Consider the following 24,260-nt stretch of genomic DNA (forward strand, 5'->3'; position numbering starts at 1 on the left):
AGCGAACAGAAGTGCGCCTGCGTTGCGACTCCGCTTTCGCGGGGGCTGCTGGGGCGTAGGTGTCGGGGACGCGCGCACGGGCGCGCGCAGCTGTTGACGCGCTTCTTAGCTGGTGCGCGCCGGAGCCCAAATTCCAAGTGGAAACTGCAGGCGCACGAGGGAGGAACGCGTGGAGCATGAAAAGGCAGGGGGCCTCCTCTGAGCGAAAACGAGCGCGGATACCGTCCGGGAAGGCCGGTGCGGAAGGTGGCGGGGGAGGGGACGGTCGGCCGAAGGCTCCCCGGGGCGGGCCGGCGGGAGTCGTAGTCAGTGGTGATTTCTTCTGGAGTCGTTTCCTCAGCTCCTTCCAGCCCCTTGGGCGGCACCTTCTATCTTTGAGGCGTTAAAGGTGTGGAAACGGAGGGCGTGACGAGGGGCAGGTAGCGAGAATGGCTCAGCTGTGGAGCCAAGGTTCGAGTCCCGGGGTCCCCTCATAACGGCCCTGCGACCTTGTGCAAGTTGGTTAACTTCAGCTTCACGTTTTTTCCGTCGCCACACGAGGATGCCAGTACCGCCCGCACCAGCAGCCAGTACTCCGCTGGGATAGTTAATTGTCGAGCGCGGAGCCCAGTTCCTAACCTGCAGTTACCTGTAGCTGCCACGGCGGGGACGGGGCTTGGTCCCCAAAGTCACGCAGCTACCAAGTGGCCGAGCTTGTGGCTGCTCCAAGACCCGAGTTCTTCCTGAGTGCCAGGGTAGCATGGCATGGCAGGTGCCAGAGAATTTGGCAAGTCCCTCTTCCTCCGTGAAGAGGAACCTTCCTAAAAGTTATCAAGAATCCTCAAAGATTTTTTCTTTATGTGGATTACATCTATCTATTTTGACTGTATTAGAAATTAAAACAAATTTTTTTTTGGGAGGCCGAGGGGGACAGATCATCTGAGCTCAGGAGTTCGAGACCAGCCTGGCCAGCATGGTGAAACCCCGTCTCTACTAAAAATACAAAAATTAGCTGGGCATGGTGGCAGGCGCCTGTAATACCAGTTACTCGGGAGGCTGAGGCAGGAGAATCACTTGAACCCGGGAGGCGGAGGTTGCAGTAAGCCGAGATCGCGCCACTGCACTCCACCCTGGGCGACAGAGCGAGACTCCGTCTCAAAAAAATAAAAATAAAATTAAAACAAAATTTTAAAATATTGATTAGAAAATAACCATAGTAAACCCATTACATATTGACATAATATTTTTTTGAAAAAGAAATATTCCTAAACAACAACAACAAAAAAAGCAAAAGAGTGGAAATATATTTTTGCAAGTTTCTTCAGTATATCTTAATGGAAGACAGCTGGATTCTCATGCCCGCTGCTTCATTCAGTCTAACATGTCAAGTAGCCTCTTGAAAACGCCTCTTCACGGAGGTTGCAGTAAGCCGAGATCGCGCCAATGCACTCCATCTTGGGTGACAGAGTGAGACTCTGCCTCAAAAAAGAAAACGCCTCTCACTTGTGAGAGAATTAAAGTGAAAAAGTCAAATAAAGTGTTAGAATTATTAAGAAAACGGTTGTAGCCCTGCAGACTCTGAAAAGTCTCAGAGGCTCCCAAAGCTCTCTGGACTACTACACTTTGAGAACTGCTGCTGCTTCTCCTTTGATCCTATAACTTTGTTGCTTGGGACAACTGCCTTGCTCTGCCTTCTGTCATAGCCTTTTTTATACATCTCTCCATCTTCTCCTGCCTAGGGTCCTTTCTTGTGTGAGGCAAATAGTCCCCCGGCAGCATCAGCATCGGCCAGTGCCACTGATCTGACAGCTGGTCTGGTAGCTACCAGGAAACTCATGGAGTTAATAATGCAGAGCTGTTGGTTAAGAGCATAGATTGACACTTAACCCTTTCACAGTTTGGGACTGATAGTATTTTTTTTTTTTTTTTTTTTTTGAGACGGAGTCTGGCTCTTGTCGCCCAGGCTGGAGTGCAGTGGCCTGATCTCAGCTCACTGCAACCTCCACCTCCCAGGTTCAAGCAATTCTCCTGCCTCAGCCTCCTGAATAGCTGGGATTACAGGCGCCCGCCACCACGCCCGGCTAATTTATATACTTTTAGTAGAGATGGGGTTTCGCCATGTTGGCCAGGCTGGTCTCAAAATCCTGACCTCAGATCCGCCCACCTTGGCCTCCCAAAGTACTGGGATTACAGGCGTGAGCCACCGCGCCGGACAGGGACTGATAGTCTTAAATAAGTAAGGCAATTGCAGTTTGATGTTAGCAGATGATAGGTTTTTGTTTTATTTGTTTTTCAAAGTAAAAATTGCTTTTTTAAATTATAAAAGCAATATTGGGTAGAAAAAATAAAGCAATAAAGAAAAGTAAAAAGAAGAAAATAAAAATAATTTCAAATCACACCCCACCAGAAGTGACCATTACCAGTATGTGAGGAACATTCTAGTAAGTGTCATTACATGAAGTGTGCATTGTTTCGTTCATTTTTTTAAATTATGTGCTCCCGGAAAAAAACTCAAAACTCTGTTTACATCACACTTTGTAATATAAATACATTAATTTTGTTGTAATTATTCAGCTTTTAGTAAATATTTGATTATTGTGTACCATGGTAGATACTGTGCTTGGTGTGGGTGATGATAAAGATTTCTCACATAAAGACCTTACTTAGGAGGCCAGACGTGGTGGCTCATGCCTATAATCCCAGCACTTTGGGAGGCCGAGGCTGGCAGATCGCTTGAGTGCAGGAGTTTGAGACCAGCATGGGCAACATGGCGAAACCCCATCTCTACAAAAAATACAAAATTAACCAGGTGTTGTGGCACATACCTGTAGTCCCAGCTACTGAGGAGGCTGAGGCACAAGAATTGCTTGAGCCTGGGAGGCGGAGGTTGCAGTGAGCCGAGATCATGCCACTGCACTCTAGCCTGGGCGACAGAGCAAGACTCTGTATCAAAAAAAAAAAAAAAAAAAAAAAAACAAACTTAGGAACTCTAAGTCAAGTAGAAGTGATCAGATATTTATCTGCATAAATAATAAAAGGTAGAAAGTAATTCATATTTTAAGAAGGAACAATTGGGGTTTCATAACTCATGAAGAGTTAAATGAGTTCAAAAGAGGGACATAAAATTTTCTACTTTGGGAGACAGAAAAAATCATGGAAATGTTCCTTGAAAAATTTTATTCAGAGATGAAGCCAGAAGGAACTCTGGGTTGAGGAGAAGGCATTGGGGAGCCAGCGGTAGGGACTGGAGAGATCTGGAAGCATAAGAAGGAATGAGACAGAGTATCACTCTGTCACCCAGGCTGGAGTGCAGTAGCACAATCTTGGCTCACTGCAACCTCCACCTCCTGGGTTCAAGCGATTCTCATGCCTCAGCCTCCCAAGTAGCTGGGATTACAGGCGCATGCCACGATGCCTGGCTAATTTTTGTATTTTTAGTAGAGACAGGGTTTTACCATGTTGGCCAGGCTGATCTCCAATTCCTGACCTCATGTGATCCACCCACCTCGGCCTCCCAAAGTGCTGGGATTACAGGCATGAGCCATCACACCCGGCCAGATAACTAATACTTTTTGATTCTTGAGACTATATACTTTACATGAATTATCTAATTTAATCCTCACTACTCTGAGGTACATACTAAAATCTACCTTGTTTTATAGAAAACTTAAGTAACTAATCTAGGATCTCACACTAAATAGTTGGTGGGACATGGATTTGAAGTCTGTCCTGCTTTTAAACCTATATTCCTTATAAAGAAGTTTAAATATATTCTGCAGGCATTGAGAAGCATTGTAAGAATCTCAGCTGGAATGTGATGATGAGGTCTATGTTTTAGGAAGATTAATTTGGCATTCGATAGACATTTTCCTCAGTATAATTTTTTATACATCTGTCTGTGTACCTATTTCAGTCTATAGGCATCAATTCAATAATTAATGTGATATTTTATTGCATTCATGGGCCCTAGTGTACTTATCTATTACCTGTTATTGGACATTTGCATTTTGGCAGCAGAATGTAAACCCTTTGTGGTAAATTGGTCTGGATGGATAGAACCTTTATGAACTCTTACCATTCTCCATGTATTTTAGGAGCAGCAAATGGATTTCTCATGGAAGTTTGTGTTGATTCAGTGGAATCAGCTGTGAATGCAGAAAGAGGAGGTAAGAGAAATCAGATAGTGAATGACCGTTGGCTACCCTTTTAAGAGTCTGAAAATTAATCCTGTGTGCTTATCTCAGAAGCCCTTGTGATCTCTAAGCATCCCTCATAATGCTTTCAGAAACAACCAATTAGAAACCCTACTGGAAAATTATGATCTAGTCTCTCCCTCTCCCCAAGTGGGTCACATTTTAAGTCAAGTGTCGACAATAGTACTTACTCAATGACTTGATTTTTTATTGAACTTAGCAAAATTTTAATTTTTTTAAACCATTAACTTAAAGATGACTTCAGAGACTTCATCATGAGGAATTTTATCTTTTTTACTTTTGAACATTATCTATTTTTCCCTCAAAGTTTCTGTTGTACTCTGAACCTGTTTTAATGGGAAGCACAGACATTTCCATCATCTCAGGTTCAGAAAAATTAAAAAAAAATTTTATTATGGAAAAATAAACATATACAAAAGTAGAGCAAATAGGATAATGAAGCCCCATGTATGCATCACTCATCTTCACCCATTTTCAACACATGGCCAGTTTTTCATTTATTTCAGGGGTCAATAAACTTTTTCTGTGAAGAGCTGCATAGTATATATATTTTCAGCCTTGCTGGACACATTTGATCTTTATCACTTATTTTATTTTTAAATCTTTTGAAAATGTAAACATCAGCCGGGTGCAGTGGCTTACACCTGTAATCCCAGTAATTGGAGAGGCTGAGGCTGCCAGATCACTTGAGCTCATGAGTTCGACACCAGCCCAGGCAACATGGCAAAACCCTGTCTCAACAAAAAATAGAAAAATTAGCCAAGCGTGGTGGTGAGCACCTGTAGTCCCAGCTACTTGGGAGGCTAAGGTGGGAGGATCACTTGAGTCCAGGAGGCAGAGGCTGAAGTGAGCCAGTCACACCACTGCACTCTAGCCTGGGTGACACAGCCAGATCTTGTCTAAAAAAAAAAAAAAAGTTAAAAAAATCCTTCTTACTTTGGCAATAGAAAAGAATGAAGTACTGATACATGCTATAATATAGATGAATCTTGAAATATTATTCTAAGTGAAAGAAACCAGTGGAAGAAAATACAACATATGATTCCATTTATATATATCCAAAATAGGTAAGTTTATGTAGACAGAAAGTAGATTAATAGTTGCTTAGGGCTGAGAGGCATGAGAAGGGTAGGTGACTGCTAAAGGGTGTAGGGTTGTTTTGGGGATGATGAAAATGTTCTAAAATTACTTGTGGAGATGGTTGCAAAACTCTGTGTATATACTAAAGAGTACTGAATTGTACACTTTTAAATGGGTGAATTGTATTAGTGAATTATATGTCCATAAAGCTGTTGTTTTTCAAAAAGAATACAAAAACATTCTTAGTTTGCAGGCCATAGCCAAAACAAGCTATGTGCCCATAGCCCACATGCCATGGTTTGCTGACCCCTGATTTATAGTCCTACCTTCCTCTCCCAACCTCAGATTACTTTGAAGCAAATCCCAGACATCATGTTAATTTTAAATATTTCAGTGTGTGTCTCTAAAAAATAAAGACTCTTGCCGGGCGCGGTGGCTCACACCTGTAATCCCAGCACTTTGGGAGGCCGAGGCGGGCGGATCACCTGAGGTCGGGAGTTCGAGACCAGCCTCAACATGGAGAAACCCCGTCTCTACTAAAAAATACAAAATTAGCTGGGCGTGGTAGTGCATGCCTGTAATCCCAGCTACTCGGGAAGCTGAGGCAGGAGAATTGCTTGAACCTGGGAGGCGGAGGTTGCGTGAGCCGAGATCACGCCATTGCACTCCAGCCTGGGCAATAAGAGCAAAACTCCGTCTCAAAAAAAAAAAAAATAAGGACTCTTTTTTTGTTGTTTAAGTTCTTTATTGTTTTCAAAGGCCTAGTATGCATACATATATAAGAAATCCATAAATAATGTGGAATTATTAATGTATATTGTTTAAGATAAGGTCCCTTTTAAAGAACAAAACACCACAATGTCACTAACACACCTTTAAAAAAATCATTTCTTAATATCGTCAAATAACCCAGTTTTCAGATTTCTCCAGTTGACTCATACAGGGTGTGTGTGTGTGTGTGTGTGTGTGTGTGTGTGTGTGTACAGTTCTTTGAATCAAGAGCCAAACATTTCATTTGTTTTATATGCCTCTTAAGTCTCTTTAAATCTGTAAGTTTCTCCTGCTTTTTTCTTTAATTCTTTGTTTACTTTCTTAAGATTTATTTGTTAAGCAACTGTGATATTCATCTTTTAGAGTATCCCATACTCTCAATTTTGCTAATTATATGTGTGATATCGTTTAACATAGTCCTCTGACCACTGTATTTCCTATAAAGGTAGTTAGCCCAGAGGCCTAATCAGATTCAGATTTCAGTTTTGACAAAATTTATTTATAGATAACATTATATACTTCCTGTTGCATCACATCAGGAGGACATAACATGTTGGTTTTTTTCTGTTTTTGTGATATTAAGATTGAACAGGGAGTTCAGGTATTGCCAGCCTAATCTATCCTTAAGGTTTTCTGTCAGCTTTTCACCTAATAAATTTAGCAACCCATATTTTAGTAGGGGTTGCAAAATGGTGACATTTATTTTTCACTTATGAACTAGAATAGTTCTGTAAAGAACTTTCCCTCATCCTCTGTTTGGTTATGCTGAAGTATGGTTTGTATAAGAAAGGCAGAATAAATGCTTGCTTATTTTCCCTTATTTATTATAATACTTTTTAGAATAATGAATTTGTTCTCTGTCTTCCCTTGAATTGTTTTGTCATTATGAATGTAGATTTAGATATATTTTGTGTGTTTTAATCCATTGTAGTTATTCTGCTTATTGATGAACAAAATGTTCTATCTTTGGCTAGTGAGAGCTTCTTCAAACTGGTTCCTGAGATCTTTTGATGTGACCTTGGTAGCCTAATAATTCTTTTGGTTTCAGCATTTTCTTATTCTTGAAATTATCTTGGTTTAGCTACTCAAAAGTAGCTTTGTGTTTTTTAAAGCTTAGAATAATAAAGACCCTTTTGGGAAATATTATGTTATTTTCTTATCAACAAAGACTCAGTATTCCACTATAGTCAGTTTTAAGAAACATCTTTATTCTATGTTACTTTCCTGTACATAGAGAGGCAACCCTATAATACAAAAATTTAAGAGAACTAGCTTAACTTTAATTAATTTTTAAATTTGAGTATGAGTAACACAATGTGGGCTGCAGAGTATAGCTGAGTTAAAAACAGAGTTTTACTCTAGCTTTATAATTTGATTTCTCTGAGATGATTTCTAAGACTGTTCTATATTTGGAAAAAATATATATAAACAGGTTGCTGTTTAATAACAGCTTATTTTTTAAAAATGTGTTGAGCAATGCTTTTATATTACAGGTGCTGATCGGATTGAATTATGTTCTGGTTTATCAGAGGGGGGAACTACACCCAGCATGGGTAAGTGTCCATTTTTCCCAGGTTTTCTGATTGGAGTTCATAGAGCCTGGAAGCAACTGATAATCAGTTTCGTTGGGGTCCTTTACTAATGTCATGTTAACTATGTTATGGATGTTGTATCAGAAATGTTTATGATTGTAAAAAAATCAAAGATTTGATCAAACATATTTCTTTCTCACATCAAAAAGTTGAAAGGTAGGTAGGTAATTGTTAATACCGGTTCAGCTGCTCTGTAGTAACATCAAGGATTAGGCTTTTATAAAATCTTTCCATGCTGGCATCCTTAGTATATTGAAATCCCCTCCTGGTCTTTGTGCTATTGTTGTCATATATTTTACTCATACATATATCAAAAACTCCATGCTGTATTGTTAGTTTTGTTTGAAGAGTCAATTATCTTTTGTTAAATAAGAGATTTAAATAATAAGAAAAAAATCATATATTTACCCACATGCAACTACCATTTCTGGTGTTCTTTATTCCTTTGTGTAGATCCCGTATTTCTGTCTGGTTTCATTTTCATTCTGCCTGAAGTACTTTCTTTAACTTTTTTTGTTAAAAAGTATGCTAGTGATTCATTCCTTCAGCTTTTATATGTCTAAAATAGCTTTTTCCTTCATTTTTGAAAGGTATTTTTGCTGGGTATAGAATTCTAGGTTGACAGGTTTTTTTTTTCTTTGAAGATGTTTTTCCATTGTCGTCTTGCTTGTATTGTTTCTGACAAAAAGCTATCATCCATATCTTTGTTTTTCTCTATGTAATATGTCTCTTTTTTCTACCTACTTTTAAGATTTTTTTATTATTGGTTTTGAACAATTTTCTTATGGTGTACCTGAGTATAGTTTTTTCATGTTTCTTGGACCTGTGCATTTATACTTCTCATCACATTTGGAAAATTTTCAGCTTGCAGCTTGTTCTCCACTCCCTCCTTTAGAGACTTAAGCTATTCTTACATTAGACTACTTGAAATTGTCCCAAAAGTCACTGATGAACTTCTCTATTTAAAAGAAAATCTCCTTTCTGTGTTTTCATTTTGCATAGTTGCTATTGTTTTGTCCTTGAGCTTACTGACCTTTTCTTCTGCACTATCTAATCTGCTATTAGTCTCTCCTGGTATGTTTTCATCTCATACATTGTAGTCTTCATCTGTAGAAATTTGAGTCTTTTTATGTCTCTGATGTCTCTTAACTTTTTTGAACATGTGGAATAAAGTTATGATAGCTGTTATAATGACCTTGTCTGCGAATTCTAACATCTATATCAGTTCTGGGTTTGTTTCATTTGATTTATCATCTAATAATATATCTTATTTTCCTGCCTTGTAATTTTTTATTGGATGCAAGACATTGTGAATTTTACTTTATTGGTTACTAGACATTTTTGAATTCCTACAAATGTTCCAAAACAGTTTGGTCCTTTTGGGTCTTGCTTTTAAGATTTGCTGGGCAAGTCTGGAGCAGTGGTTAATACAGAGCTAATTATTCCTTACTACTGAGTCAGGATTCTTCTGTGAACTCTACCCTGTGACCATGAATTTTGAAATTTTCCTGTCTGGCTGGTGGAATAGGCATTATTCACAGCTTGGTATGAATGACAGGCACATTATTTCTAATCCTTTTTATTGGTTCTGTCCCAGGCCTTGCGTAGTTTCTTTGCATGCATGCACCGGTCAGTACTCAGCTGAATATTAAAGGAGGTTCTCTGCAGACCTCCAGAGTTATCTGTCTTCCTTTCTTCTTTCATTCCTTCCTTTCCTTTCTTTTCTTTCCTTCTCCTTTTCTCTCTCTTTGCTTTCCTTCCTTCCTTTTTTTCTTTTGACAGGGTCTCACCTGTTGTCCAGGCTTGACTGAAGTGGTGTGACCATAGCTCCCTACAGCCTCAAACTCCTGGGCTCAAGCAATTGTCCTGCCTCAGCCTCTCAAGTAGCTAGGATTACAGGCATATGCCACCATGTCCAGCTACATTTGTTTGTTTGTTTGTTTGGTAGAGATGGAGTCTCACCATTTTACCCAGACTGGTCTTGAACTCCTTGCCTCAGGCAATCCACCCATCTCAGCCTCCCAAAGCACTGGGATTACAGGCATGAGCCACCGTACCAAGCCTATCTTTTTTAAAAAAAATCCTTTTTTTAAACCATTGAGATAGTCTTTGCTACTCCAGTGTTATCTTTCTGTCCTCCCTGTACTGTCTCCTATAAACTCTAGCTACTTCAGTCTTCCTGAACTCTAAGCTTTGTCTCCTTAACTCAGGGAATTGTTTTGGCTCCATGTGGGTCCCCCATCCCTGTGCTTTGGCCTAGAAACTCTCAAGGCAGTAAATTGGGTCAATCAGAATTGACTTACTAACTTCATTGTTTACCATTTTCAAGGATCATTGCCCTTCACTGCTTAATGTCCAGTGTCTTGCAAACCACTGTTTCATATATTTTGTCTGTTTTTTTATTATTATTATTATTATAGGTGGGAGGGTAAATCCAGTCACTGTTACCCTGTCTTGGCCAAAAGCAGAAGTCTGTGTATGAATTGTGGTCTCCTAAGTTATGCTACTCTGAGGTTGATAATAGCATTATTTAATGTAAAAAGTTTGTATACACAACAGCCCTTTGGAATCTTCACATGAAAAGAGGGCATTCCTGGCCATTCTAAAATCCCTAGAGCATGTCTGTAAATTTGAGTACAGTCTGTTTTTGTAACACCAATTATGATTCATTGCTTAGTATTGGACAACTGCTATCCTATGCAAAATTGGAGTTCTTTTAGCAAGAAAAAAGAAAGAAATTCATACTGGGTAAACAACTGATGGGGCCTGTCACAGCCTTATACTATTGATGGTTTATGAGCTAGCCACTTATTATGGCATATTTAGGTACTTTTATGCATAGATCTCTGCATAAAATCACAAATAAGTAGAACTTTGCTCCCTTTCACGTATCTTGTTTAAAAAAAAAAAAAAAAGGTTTTGCTAAATGTCTTTGCCCATTAAAGGAATATGAACTTTGAAGCTATTTAACCATCTCTCCAGTAGGTTTTAAATAGAGCTGTAATGAATTAGAAAGAAGAAATTGGATCTTGGGGAATAATGTACTGGCAGAACATCGAGCCTGGTAGTTATTGCACTTTCAAATGTCACCTACCAATAAAAGGGTTCTGAGTCATAAGGATTTTTGTTGAGTCAACTGACAAGTGCTTTTAAATTGTAGCATCTTCTGTTTTCTAAATCGTTCTATTTAACCCTTTGCTATTACTTACCTTCTACCATATATACATTTTTCTTCTCAGTGTCTGTCCTACCTTTTAGAGCCATCTTTGTCTGGTAAATGACCAATAATATATCATTGGCTTTTAGCTCACATTTGAATTTTAATCTGCTTTCTTTTCTTGTAGGTGTCCTTCAAGTAGTGAAGCAGAGTGTTCAGATCCCAGTTTTTGTGATGATTCGGCCACGGGGAGGTGATTTTTTGTATTCAGATCGTGAAATTGAGGTGATGAAGGCTGACATTCGTCTTGCCAAGCTTTATGGTGCTGATGGTTTGGTTTTTGGGGCATTGACTGAAGATGGACACATTGACAAAGAGCTGTGTATGTCCCTTATGGGTAAGAATTTGTATCTAAGACGTAAAAGCCTCTAATGATAATTGTATTTATGCTCACAATATAGAAAAACAACATCACAAAACTGACTTTGCGGTCATAGCTACAGACACTTATACTAACCTAAGTATTTCAAATAGTAGTTATTTAGATGTTTGGGGTGGGGTGTATGTGTGGCAAAGCCTTCTTAACTCTCCTCAATTGCTATAGATTAGGCTCCGCTACTGTTCCCATAGAATAGAAATTTAAGGGAAATTTACCATGGTTCCTTTAACCACTGCACCAAGAACTTCAAAAGTATTATAGTTGGTGAGGATGGACCACCAAGTTGGAAGATGCAAAGAGGACAGAAGCAAACTACCTATGTTACTAAACCAAAGTACTTATTGAATGACCTCAGAGGGACAAGTATTAGATGTAATGCTGCCCTTATAGTTGTCAGATTAAATGGTTTTCATTTGGTGATAAGCCACGACCATTTTTTTGTATAAAAATCAGAGATTTGTGGAAAGATAAGACTTTTGAATTTGTAAGGCTGCCATTTTATTATTATGTCAGTTTACTGTCTTGTTAGGCGAAGAAAGTATTAAAAAGTTTCAGCTAACATGGAGAATTCTATATATAGTAATCAGTGATGACATCTTCATTCATGTTGTTATATGACTTTCTTTTTATAGCTATTTGCCGCCCTCTGCCAGTCACTTTCCACCGAGGTGAGTCATTTTCATTTTAAAAGTTCTATTGAACAGTGTTAGTTTTCTAATTTCAACAACTGCCACCACCTTTTTATGGAACACAATTCTGTAGTGTTCCAAGGTTACCAATTGGTTTTTTAGATCCTAGGACTAAAAGTTATAAAAGTAGAGATGTGCAATTTCTAGAAAATTTGAAGCCTTAGTTATGAAAAGTTGTTAAAAGTGGGTGTAGGTGGTGGTGGGATATAAGAGAGCGAGGGAGAGAGCAAGTATTGCCTTCAAGTGTGTGTACCTATCATAGCATTCCAAGCAAGAATCCTGAGACTCATTTTAACTGAGACTGTATTAGGTCATGTGCAACCCCAAAAGAATAAATTGTTGTGGCTGGTGAAATGAAAGGTACTGTCTATCTTAAGCCAGGCAAAACCATCCCTGGGGCTAGCAGTGAGGTGGGGTTTCACAGATAGAGACTTCTTAAGGGGAGAGAAAGTTGGGTATCTGGAGAAGAATTGGGTCTTATTAGGAAGGGAGAAAGGAGAAACAGATGCAATCTAGTGTTGACTATCTAGTCAATGAACAGATGTCCACAATAGTATACAAAATTATTTTTCATTATAGCTTGTCTGCACCACAGTGATTTTTTAATGTGATACTTTCTTGTAAAGAAATATTTCCTGTAAAAAATCAGGTAGATATAATTTTTTTTGTTTGTTTGTTTGAGACGGAGTCTCGCTCTGTCGCCTAGGCTGGAGTGCAGTCGCACGATCCGGCTCACTACAACCTCTGCCTCCCGGGTTCAAGCAGTTCTCTGCCTCAGCCTCCCGAGTAGCTGGGATTACAGGCGCCTGCCACCATGCCCAGCTAATTTTTGGATTTTTAGTAGAAACAGGGTTTCACCATCTTGGCCAGGCTGGTCTTTAACTCCTGACCTCGTGATCCACCCGCCTTGGTCTCCCAAAGTGCTGGGATTACAGGCGTGAGCCACCACCCCTGGCCAAAAAATCAGGTAGTTATAATTTCTATACTCTTAGGCTACACCTTGGTAAAATGGAAGAACAAGTATCTATTTTGCCTTCAGAGAGCACTGCCATTGCACATGAAAAGAAGTCTACAGTCAAAAAAAATTTTTTTACTTCAAATTTCTGTTCTGTTCTTTATTCCAATAGGTTTAACAAAAATATTTTCATATTTTCAAAATTTGTAGAATTTTTGGGTTCCACATTTTTCTCACTAATGTATTTAATGAGATATCATAATATAGTTTTAGTGGTGAGAAGGTGCTGCCACCAAAATAGGGAAATCCTCTGTGGTAGATTTAGTTGCCTACATACACTAAAGGGTGAAATGAAGGGGCCTGTCCCAGAGGACCACTACCACCTAATCCACTGCAGGCTAGAGCTTCAATGTCATGTAGCAGTATGAGAACCAAAGCAGAAGTAGATTTTCTGTTTTCAGTTTCCTGATACCACTTTACTCTTTGAGGGCTCTGAGGAGGGGAGAAATCTCTTAGAAAGTAGGATGGGGCTGGGCACAGTGGCTTACCCCTATAATCCTACCACTTTGGGAGACCGAGGTGGGTGGATCACAAGGTTAGGAGATTGAGACCATCCTGGCCAACATGGTGAAACCCCGTCTGTACTAAAAATACAAAAATTAGCTGGGCGTGGTGGCGCATGCCTGTAATCCCAGCTACTCGGGAGGCTGAGGCAGGAGAATCACTTGAATCAGGGAGTCAGAGGTTGCAGTGAGCCGAGACCGTGCCACTGCACTCCAGCCTGGGCGACAGAGCAAGACTGCATCTCACAAACAAAAAAAAGTAGGTTGGAAGTGAAACTTCATATAGTCTGTTGAAAACAACTACCCTTATGCTATGAACCTTGAGTATGTGGGGTTAATAGATTAATCCAAAATATTAGTCAGTAATGAGAATGTGAGCCAAGGCTTTTTCTAGAACTGGTGAGTACAGTGTTTCATTCTACCTAGTCCAATATTTCTGAAGCCTTAGAACAGTTTCCCAAATTTGACTCACCTGCCTATCACATTTAAAATTTTACCATATATGAGTGCTACCTGTGCACATTTTTATTTAATCATTTTCTTTAAATAAAATCTTAAGTATGCACCCATAAAAAAGAACAAGATCATGTCCTTTGCAGAGGCATGGATGGAGCTGGAGACCATTATCCTTAGCAAACTAACATAAGAACAGAAAACCAAATACCACATGTTCTCACTCATAAGTGGGAGCTAAATGATGAGAACACATAGACACATAGAGGGGAACAACACACACTGGGGCCTTTCCGAGGGTGGAGGGTGGGAGGACAGAGAGGATCAGGAAAAATAACTATGAGTACTAGGCTTAATACCTTGGTGATGAAATAATCTGCACAACAAACTCCCAAGACACGGGTTTATCTGTATAACAAACCTGCACTTGTACCCCTGAACTTAAAAAAAAGTTAAAAAAAAGTAAATTTATTTTAAATAGAAACTTTTATAATTACTTTATATTGAAAACTTTTCATTTCTTATCTGCATTTAAGTAAATATACTATTTAAATGTGTACCATTATTAAAATGATTATGCACAGTGGTATGTAGACTGTGGTGTGCTGATGAACTGGCTCCTAGAAAAAAGAGCCCTGATTTGTAGCATTTTTAAATTTCTGTGGTTTAAATACTCTACCTTCACTGAATTTTTTTATTATTATTAATTAAATTTTTATTTTTCTTTTGAGACAAGTCTTGCTCTGTCGTCCAGGCTAGGGCACAATGGTGCAATTGGCTCACTGCAGTCTCGACCCCTTAGGCTCAGGTGATCCTCCCATCTCAGCCTCTCGAGTAGCTGGGACTATAGGTGCACACCACCATGCCCAGATAATTTTTGTATTGTAGATATGGGGTCTTGCCACATTGCCCAGGCTGGTCTCAAACTCCTGCGCTCAAGTGATCTCCCCACCTCGGCCTCCCAAAATGCCAAGATTATAGGCACGAGCCACTGCACCTGGCCCTACCTTCACTAATTTCAGGCTGCCAGTGGATTAACAATCTGACTTGCAGAATTCTTGAGTGTTTAATAATTGGCCTTTGTAAGCCAGTACAAGCTAGGTCCAGCATGCCACTGCATGTATACTACATTTTGGGAAACTCTGCGTTAGAGATACCTGTTCAAAATTCACATCAGTTTTATTTATTTCAGCCTTTGACATGGTTCATGATCCAATGGCAGCTCTGGAGACCCTCTTAACCTTGGGATTTGAACGCGTGTTGACCAGTGGATGTGACAGTTCAGCATTAGAAGGGCTACCCCTAATAAAGCGACTCATTGAGCAGGTACGTGGACTTTATCTTTTTTTCCCCTAAGACTCTGTTGTGGTTACTCCTGACATTCTGCTGTTTAGCCAGTTTGTGAGACTATATATTACTGACTTTGTGGTTACTCTGTAGGAAAAGCAAGCAGGCAATAATGTATATAATTCTTATTTCTTTCACACAAGCCTTTTTAATAACCAAGGCTTTCAAGATCAAATTACATATAGATAGTGCCTAAAGATCTGATCTAACTTGGATAAGCACAGCAAATTTTACCTTTTCTCTGCCATGGGCATTGCAGTTTTTTTTACTTTTTATTTTTATTTTTTAGTTTAGATATAAGGTCTTGCTGTGTTGCCCAGGCTGGTCTCGAACTCTTGGGCTCAAGCCATCTGCCTTCCTTGCCCTCCCAGAGTGCTGGGATTACAGGCATGAGGCACTGCGCCCAGCCAGCATTGCAGTTTTAAGCCACATCTTTTCATTGTCAGCCCATGTATATTCAGGGGATCCCATATAAAATTATCATCTGGAGGTAAATTCCAAAACTAAAATTATAATCTTATTTCTTCTCATCTGTCAATATAAGAGGAAATATATTTTTCTATTTTATGAGTTTTCCTGGTGAGCTAGCATCATTTGTAGAGCACTCAGAAGGTGACTTTGTAATTAATAGTATGTGTATTTTTCTGATGTCAGTCCAGAGGCATTATAAGTTAGTGAGTACAGACTTTGAGATGAGAGAGTTGAGCGTTTGAGACTCGGGTTTGATACTTGCTATGTGATGTTGAGCAGGTTAATAGTCTTTAAGCCTCTCTTTCCCCCTGTGTGAAACTGAGATGAGTTTAATACTTATTTTAGAGTTTCTCAGAAGATTGCTAAAGATGGGATGTGTTAGAGGCTTAGCACAGTGGTTGGCATATACTAGGTCTTAATAATGTTAGGTTCTGTTATTACTGCTATTATTAATAATACTAATGTTCCTGTGTAGACATCTGCTTATTTTCACTTTTCTATAGCCATGAAAATAATTTTCAGAAATTTCTCCTAAAGATCTGATGTGACTTTGCTATTCTGGGATGTAATGGTTTCACAGACATTTATTAAATATATATTAGATGCAGGACATTTGTACTGTGGGGGTAACCAAGGGCTAAGTGTCTGTGTGTAGTCACTATCCTTACAATTTAGTGCAGAACAGGCACTTCTAATAGAGCAGGCAATTTTAATAGAGCTCTATTTTTAAAAGGTACTATAGGAGTACATTGGAGAGGAATTAACCCCAAATTTGGGGAAATGAAGGTTGGCAATAATTAGAGGAAGCTTCCCAGAAGAAAAGACATCCAGACTGCAGTGTTTTACTCATTTGAAGGATGTTTGGGAGTTATCTGTGTAAAAGTTGGGGGCAGTGGGAGTGAGGGTGAAGGGGATGTTGGTGGAATTGTTCCATACAAAACAAATAGTATAAGCAAGGGCTATAAACAAAAGCAAGCATAACTTAAAACACTGAGGAATGGCCAGAATATTGAATGTGGACAGAATGATATCCAGAGCCTTGAAAACCTTATTAAAGTATTTATTTTCATGGTGCAGCGGGGAGGCCTAAAGTGTTTTAAAATAGAAGAGTTGATGAGTCAGGTTTCCAGTTTTAAAAGGTTACTCAGTAAGGAGTAGCAAATAAGATATAACCGCCATAGTAATGTATTGCATTTCAAAATGTGTATGTGTGTGTGTATGTCTGTTATTTGTATGTTAATCTATTGGTTAGTAGGAAGAGCTACTCAAATATTCTCATACATTAACTTCACTGAAGTAACTACCTAGTAGTGTAACATACTAGTTAAAGCATAGGCTTTGTGATTGGACAGGTCTGTGTTTAAACCCTGGCTTTGACCCTTACTAATAGTGACCATGGATACATTACCTAGCCATCCTAAACCTCAGCTTTGCTCTTCTGCAAAGTTAGGATAATAATAGCACCTACCTCCTAGAATAGTTGTGAGGGATTTCTTCAGGTTATAGCACTTAGTAATTGTTCTATATTATTAAATCTGACATTTAGTGACTGCTCTATATTATTAAATCACTTTGATAGCCTTAGATAAGCATATACTTCTAAATAATCTTGTATGGAAGGCGAAAAGAAATGGTAGAATTCATTTCTTTAAAAATATTATTTCTCTATGTTTTGGAAAGCCTTGATTTGGAAGAAACAGGCAAATATGACTTTTTTCCATTCTGAAGTGATTTCAGCTTTTTAGATAGTCAATGTTTTGTTTTATGGATGCTTTGTTCAGGCCATTTGAGAATATGAAGCATCCTTGTTCCATTTATTTCCCTAACAATTTTTAAATTATTTGAAATAGCCACTCCCCTCTTTCACTCTCTTGTTAACTTTATTTTTTGCTTTATTTATTCACTTGCTTTATTTTTTCTTTGTTATACTTATTGCTACCTGGAATTTTATTGTATAAATATCCCTGTGCATTGTCTCGTCTTTCTTGAATGTGTAAGCTCCATGAGAGCAGGAACTTTCTCTTACTCACCATGTCAGGGAGGAAAAACTTTTCTTCTATCCTCAGGGTTTGTTATTGGGGGCCTGCAAATTAAACTGACTAAAGACAGATTAGCAGGAGTAAAAAGAGATTTTATCACATAAGTACATATATATGTAAGTACATACAGAAGTTCACAAAGAAATATGACTTAGAATTGGGGGCTTATATACCATCTTAATAGGTGAAGGGGAAGGAGAAAATGGCACTTATTGGGGGGGAAAATGACTTTTTGGAAAGATAATTTTCTAGAGACAAATTTACTATGCTGGACATCTTACTTGTCCAAGATCCCAAAGAAATAGAGAAGATCTAGTAAAAATTAAACATTAATAGTAATTTTTAAAATTTAATATATTCTGACTTATGTTTCTATTCTCACTGCCTTATTATCCCATTCAAGAGAAAGATATTAAAATTCACTTGTTTTTTTTTTTCTTTTTTCAGGCAAAAGGCAGGATTGTGGTAATGCCAGGTATTTATTTATCTATCAATTCACTAGCATAACACTGAACTATAGTGGAGGAAGAGCAAAGGAGGCAGGAAAATGTGAGAGAGAGTATTAGTACATTACATATTAGTACATGATCTTTAAAGAGAAGAATATATAGTTTGATTAAAATGTTTAAAACTGGGAGATCTGTGCTAGAATTTAAAAGTTTAGATAAGAAGGAAAATATTGTAATAGGCATTAGCTCAAAGAGGAGCAAATAAGGAAGCAGATAGAGATTGAGGTTTCTCCATATTTGCTCTCCCATTATATAGAACTTTATGAATTCAGATGTTCATCTCTGGTGAGGCACATCAAATTTGATGCTAATCATATTTTGTTTAGGACAAATGTCCTAATAAACAGGGTTTAAGCAAAGGTTTAGGCAACATCCTTGGGTAAAATATAATACTGTCTCAGTTCCTGAAAATCTCTGATTGCCAAATTATTTCTTGTAACCAGAATTTAATCATATGATCCTGATGATAACCATAAGATCAGTTAAGTTCATAATGGCTAACTAGAAATGAACAGTTGGAGCAGTTTTTAAAGAATTAGATAATACAACATAGAAGAGTGAGACAAATGTAAAGACAATCTTAATTTTTTTAATTAAGTTTCTCAAACATATAAAAAAGTAGAAAATAGCATAATGAATACTCATATGCTCATTCCCTAGATTTAACATTTTGCCAAATTTGTCTCATCTTTTTTCTATCCTGAGGTATTTTATTAAAGTTAAATTGAAAGCATCATGGCATTTTATCTTTATTTATCTCTAAAAAGGGTGGGATGTTACCATAATGACAATTCCATTATCACATCTATCACAATAAACATTTAATACTCAACTTTCTCCAATTGTCCCCACAATGGTTTTTATAGCTGATATGTTCAAACTAGGATCCAGTCAAGGAACAAGCATTACATTTTTGGTTATCTTTTGTTTGTTTGTTTGTTTTTAGAGATGAGGTCTTGCTATATTGGCCAGGCTGGACTTGAACTCTTAGCCTCAAGCGATCCTCCTGCCTCAGCCACCCAAGTAGCTGGGACTACAGTTGCACGCTGCCATGCCCAGTTCTATTATCTTTTAAAATATCTTTAATATAGATGTTTTTCCTTTTATTTTTCTTGCTTTAAAAAAAAGTTACATTATTAAGTTTGGGCTGGGCCCAGTGGCTCACGCCTGTAATCCCAGCACTTTGGGAGTCTGAGGCAGCCAGATCACCTGAGGTCAAGAGTTCGAGACCAGCCTGGCCAACATGGTGAAATCCTGTCTCTACTAAAAATACAAAAATTAGCCGGCCATGGTGGCATGTGCCTGTAATCCCAGCTACTTGGGAGGCTGAGGCATGAGCATCACTTGAACCAAGGAGGCGGAGGTTGCAGTGTGCTGAGATTGCACCACTGCACTCCAGCCTGGGTGACACAGCAAGACTCCGTCTCAAAATAAAATAAAAGTTTGGATCACTTACCCTGTAAAATGTCCTACTTTCTGGATTTATCAGATTATTTCCTCATGATATTGTTTAGCTTGTTCCTCGTGCCTCTGTATATCCTATAAACTAATAGTTAAATCATGAGGTTTGAATAGACTCTGCTTAAATATTTTTGGTCAGAATACTTCATGGGTGATTCTGCATACTTACATCATATGACATCACATCAGAAGGTATTCAGTCTCTGGTCATCTCACTACTAGTGATGTCAAGACTGACCAGCGTTCAAAATAGTGACACCTAGATAAAGAGTAACTTTTAAAAAGAGGCCGTGAACCTGGGCAATATAGTAAGACACCATCTTTACCAAAACGTAAAAAAATTAGTTGGGCATGGTGGCGTGCTCCTGACGTCCCAGCTACTCTAGAGGCTGAGGTGGGAGGATTTCTTGAGCCCGAGGTCAAGGCTGCAGTGAGCTATGATCGCACCACTGCACTGCAGCCTGGGCAACAGAGTGAGACCCTGTGTCAAAAGAAAAAAAAAAAAAGGCCATATAAGGGGTATTGTCAGATATTTAGGAAGGCTTTGACCTATAACAAGCCCTTGAAACATAAGCAGAGAGAAAGTATATATTATCTGTCAAATTGTGGTCCTTTTTGGTTAATCAAGGAATGTTAAAGAGACTCTGAGTGTGATGCTTTTCCATTTAGCACTAAATATATATAGTTTTGACAAGTAATACTTAGACAATTGTTGACATTAAGAGTACCTTTGTTTAATATGCAATTGTTATCAGCTGTGTGCAAGGCATTACTTGGGATGCAAAGCTACACAAGAAACTACGTTCTCAAGAAGCTGACTCAGGTCAAAAGATGTTACATACAAAAATATTTGTGATTAATTTCTTTAACAAACCTTATCAGGTAAATGTTAATTGTGTGACAATTATGTATATTTTATGCTAATTGTGTGATAGATATGAAAACAGAAATAAAGTAATCCTACTTGAGGAGCTCACAGAATAGACTTATAAACACAAATGTATTACAATTTCATATGAATAAGTACCAGCAAGTAAAAACTCCTAGGTAAGTCATTCTGAATGCCTAATAAGTATTCATCATTGAGAAATATAAAGAGGTAGTTGCCCTCTAGGAACTTTCATAATGAAACCTACAACATATTTAGGCTCTGGTTTCTTCATCTATAAAGAGAAGAATATTAAACTAGTTCTGTGGGATCCTTTTTAACCATAGAGCTGTGTTAGTCTGAGTCTGGAAAGATGTATTACCTATGTACTTAAGTTGCTGATAACTTAGCAACATGTGTTTCAGTGGCCAGATGTTTTGTTATTTGTTAGAAGGAATAGAAGGAAATAATATATTTGTCTCTTAATCCTTACAATAAGCTTGTGAGGTAGCCAGTATTATCCCTCTTTTATTGGCAAAAAAGTTGAGGTCAGTGGATTTAAATAATTTATCTAAGATCACATAGCTGTGAAGAGCTACAGTGATAAAGCCAGGATTTCAGTCTAAATCTACTCAGCCTGTATTTTTTCTATTTCTTTCTTTTTTTCTGAGACAGGGTCTCACTGTGTCGCCCAGGCTATGGTGCAGTGGTGCAGTCTCAGCTTACTGCAGCCTCTGCCTCCTAGGCTCAAGTGATCCTCTTACCTCAGCCTCTTGAATAGGTGGGTCTACAGGCACCCACCACCACATCCAGCTAATTTTTGTATGTTTTTGTAGAGACGGGGTTTCACCATGTTGCCCAGGCTGGTCTCAAACTCTTGAGCTCAAGTGATACTCCTGCCTTGGCCTCCCAAAGTGTTGGAATTACAGGTGGGAGCCACCACACTCAGCCTTTTTTCTATTTCTTAAGGCTCAGTGATATTACTGTACTACTAAGGAAAAAAAGACAAGTTAATGAGTCTGAAAGAGTGTGTAAAAATAGGTTATTTCAGCATCTTTAATGGCTTGAGATACAAAGTACATAGTTTTAAAATATTGAGTACATCCTATAGGGAGATAAGGATATAAAGATGAATAAACTAATTTCATATTTATGATACACTAGTATCAGTTCAGAATATGATTCTTTATATATAAATATTTAAAAGATTGTTCATCAAAACAAATGTCATAAAATATTTGGTGGTACAGTTTTAATAAAGTAGAATCAGATTCTTCTGTGAAATGAAGTATAAAGCTGATATCGTAACTAATAACCTGTATAATACCTTGCATTATTCCTGTTTCCAATGAAGTCAGTGTAGTCTTTACATCTGGGGCTAGAGACAGAACAGAGGTTCTCTTTCAGACACATCTCTGAGGTTGTGCTTTTGTAGATTTTTTTCCTCAAACCTATCCTTACCTTTCTTTTTAATTTGATTTTGCTTTAATTGAGGGACAAGCAGGGATAGCATTGTTATATTAGCCAATGGACAGATAAGATTCTATCATACATGTTCTATAAACTTAATGGTACTTCCCCAGAGTCTGTAGCCTATATATCTTTTATCACTTCTCTAATCTCATTCTAGCTGGGTAGGGAGAGACTAATTTTTGAATCAATGAGAAATTCAGTTTGGGGATTCCAAGTAAAGTAAGCAGTCGTTACTATTCCTTAAATTTTATGCAAAATTCTATTTTACTTAATGTGTTACTTATTCTTTGCAACAGGAGGTGGTATAACAGACAGAAATCTACAAAGGATCCTTGAGGGTTCAGGTGCTACAGAATTCCACTGTTCTGCTCGGTCTACTAGAGACTCGGGAATGAAGTTTCGGTAAAAATGTATTCTTCGATTCAAATAAGAAGGATGAGATTAATTTTTACTTTCTCCCAAATAGAAAAACTTTGGATGGGGGCATGATTAATCAATGGAATATTGTGACTACTACATAAGTATTGTAGTTGTTTTTGTAGTTGAAAAACATTTCTAAAATGGTTCTTGTCCTGTCTTAAATAAACAGGCTCTTTGAACATAGGTGAACCTTGCCTTGTAAAGGCATTGCTGAACTTAGACCAGTTAATAGTAAACAAATTCTGCAGTTGAGCTTCAAATGAGTCAGATATGCACATGTGCCCATTCGCCTATGATTTCCTGTAGCAAAGTTAATAACTATGGTGTAAGGATGGAAGAGTCAGTCATTTTTCTCCCTCCTACCTTTAGTACTTAGTCTTCCCTCACATTTGTTCTCTGTTTTCAGTTATTTTGAAATTATATTACCATTAAGAAATTGTGAGTATTATATGGGGTTTTTTAAATACTTAAGAAGACTCTTACAATTTAATAGTAGTTGAATATTTCTGTTTATAAATTGGGAAAAACACAATGTAAAAGAAGCAAGATGGCTGGCTGGGTGAGGTGGCTCACACCTGTAATCCCAGCGCTTTGGGAGGCCAAGGCAGGTGGATCACTTGAGGTCAGGAGTTCGAGACCAGTCTGGCCAACATGGTGACACCCCATCTCTACTAAAAGTACAAAAAAATTAGCTGGGCGTGGTGATACATGCCTGTAATTTAAAAAGGAAAAAAAAAAAAAAAAGGAAGCAAGAGCCTTAGAACTTACAATTCCAGATATAAAATCAAGTATACTGTCCAGTGGATTCAGCTGCTGGATGTTTCAAGTAATTAATTGATGAAAATTATGGAATATACTAGTCCAGCATACTTGACCTACCCTTGTATCATGAAATAGTCTATAAAATGAAGCGGCAGTAGGAGGGCCCATTTAATAACATAATTATCTGTTCCTTTATTATTTCTGTTACAGAAATTCATCTGTTGCCATGGGAGCCTCACTTTCTTGCTCAGAATATTCCCTAAAGGTAACAGATGTGACCAAAGTAAGGACTTTGAATGCTATCGCAAAGAACATCCTGGTGTAGCCAGACCTCTCTGAGAGACATGGATATCACAGGATGAAGGTAGAACTATAATCTGCAATTCTCTATGACACAGCTTTAACCTTCTTCTCTGGCCAGGACAGTCGCAATCTTTGTTTTAAGTTTCACATGGCCATGGAGAATGTGCCCAAGAAGAAAAAGAATTTGAAACAGAGATACAGTCACTTCCTTTGCTTAGTCTTACCAGTGATTGTCATCATGGTTAAAGCTGGTCTGTGCTTCTTCCATAGACAGAAGCTTAGTCTGTTTTCAGTGGAATTAATTGATGAACTGGGAAAATTTTAACTGCATGGTATGAATTCAGAGTGTGACTTAAGGGTCAATTCAAAGCAGTATTTTGACTTTTCATTTGTAAAATAAAAATTTCCACTATTACAGTATAGTCTCTTATTCTTGCACTAAATACAGCCTGTAGCCTACAAGTATGAAAGGAAAAGTGTTGTCTTATTTGGTTCCACACTTTCTCTTTTTATTATGTGCTGATTGGATATGCTGCTTTGGGCAAGATGCTAAGGGTACAGAGTAAAATGGTGCAGTGTGAAAATTCCCAGACTTGGAAACAGAATATCAAAGTTCCTAGACTTACGAAGACAGATGTGAACTCTGGCATTCAACAGGTTACTTATCCTGCAAGTGGAAAGAAATGGCTTAACTCTAAGATCCATCTGACAATTT

At 38.2% G+C, this 24,260-nt stretch overlaps 1 protein-coding gene across 1 annotated transcript; it reads left to right on the forward strand.

Moving 5' to 3' along the window:
• Positions 62–23,962, forward strand: CUTC (cutC copper transporter). The gene is made up of 9 exons (NM_015960.3): positions 62–237; positions 4,074–4,145; positions 7,538–7,597; positions 10,981–11,190; positions 11,865–11,900; positions 15,085–15,218; positions 18,197–18,224; positions 22,357–22,462; positions 23,453–23,962. The coding sequence occupies exons 1-9, from the start codon at positions 177–179 to the stop codon at positions 23,565–23,567; spliced, it is 822 nt and encodes a 273-aa protein (NP_057044.2). The 5' UTR covers positions 62–176; the 3' UTR covers positions 23,568–23,962.
• Positions 23,963–24,260: the final 298 nt, after the last annotated feature.

This window comes from Homo sapiens, chromosome 10, assembly GCF_000001405.40.
Source record: "Homo sapiens chromosome 10, GRCh38.p14 Primary Assembly".
Lineage (NCBI taxonomy): Eukaryota > Metazoa > Chordata > Mammalia > Primates > Hominidae > Homo > Homo sapiens.

Excerpts from the sequence above, each read along its gene's own strand:
- CUTC (NM_015960.3), top strand. The coding sequence starts at position 177 with ATGAAAAGGCAGGGGGCCTCCTCTGAGCGAAAACGAGCGCGGATACCG. Across the intron at positions 238-4,073 it reads GATACCGTCCGGGAAGGCCG|GAGCAGCAAATGGATTTCTC; the intron begins GTGCGGAAGGTG and ends CATGTATTTTAG. Across the intron at positions 15,219-18,196 it reads TAAAGCGACTCATTGAGCAG|GCAAAAGGCAGGATTGTGGT; the intron begins GTACGTGGACTT and ends TTCTTTTTTCAG.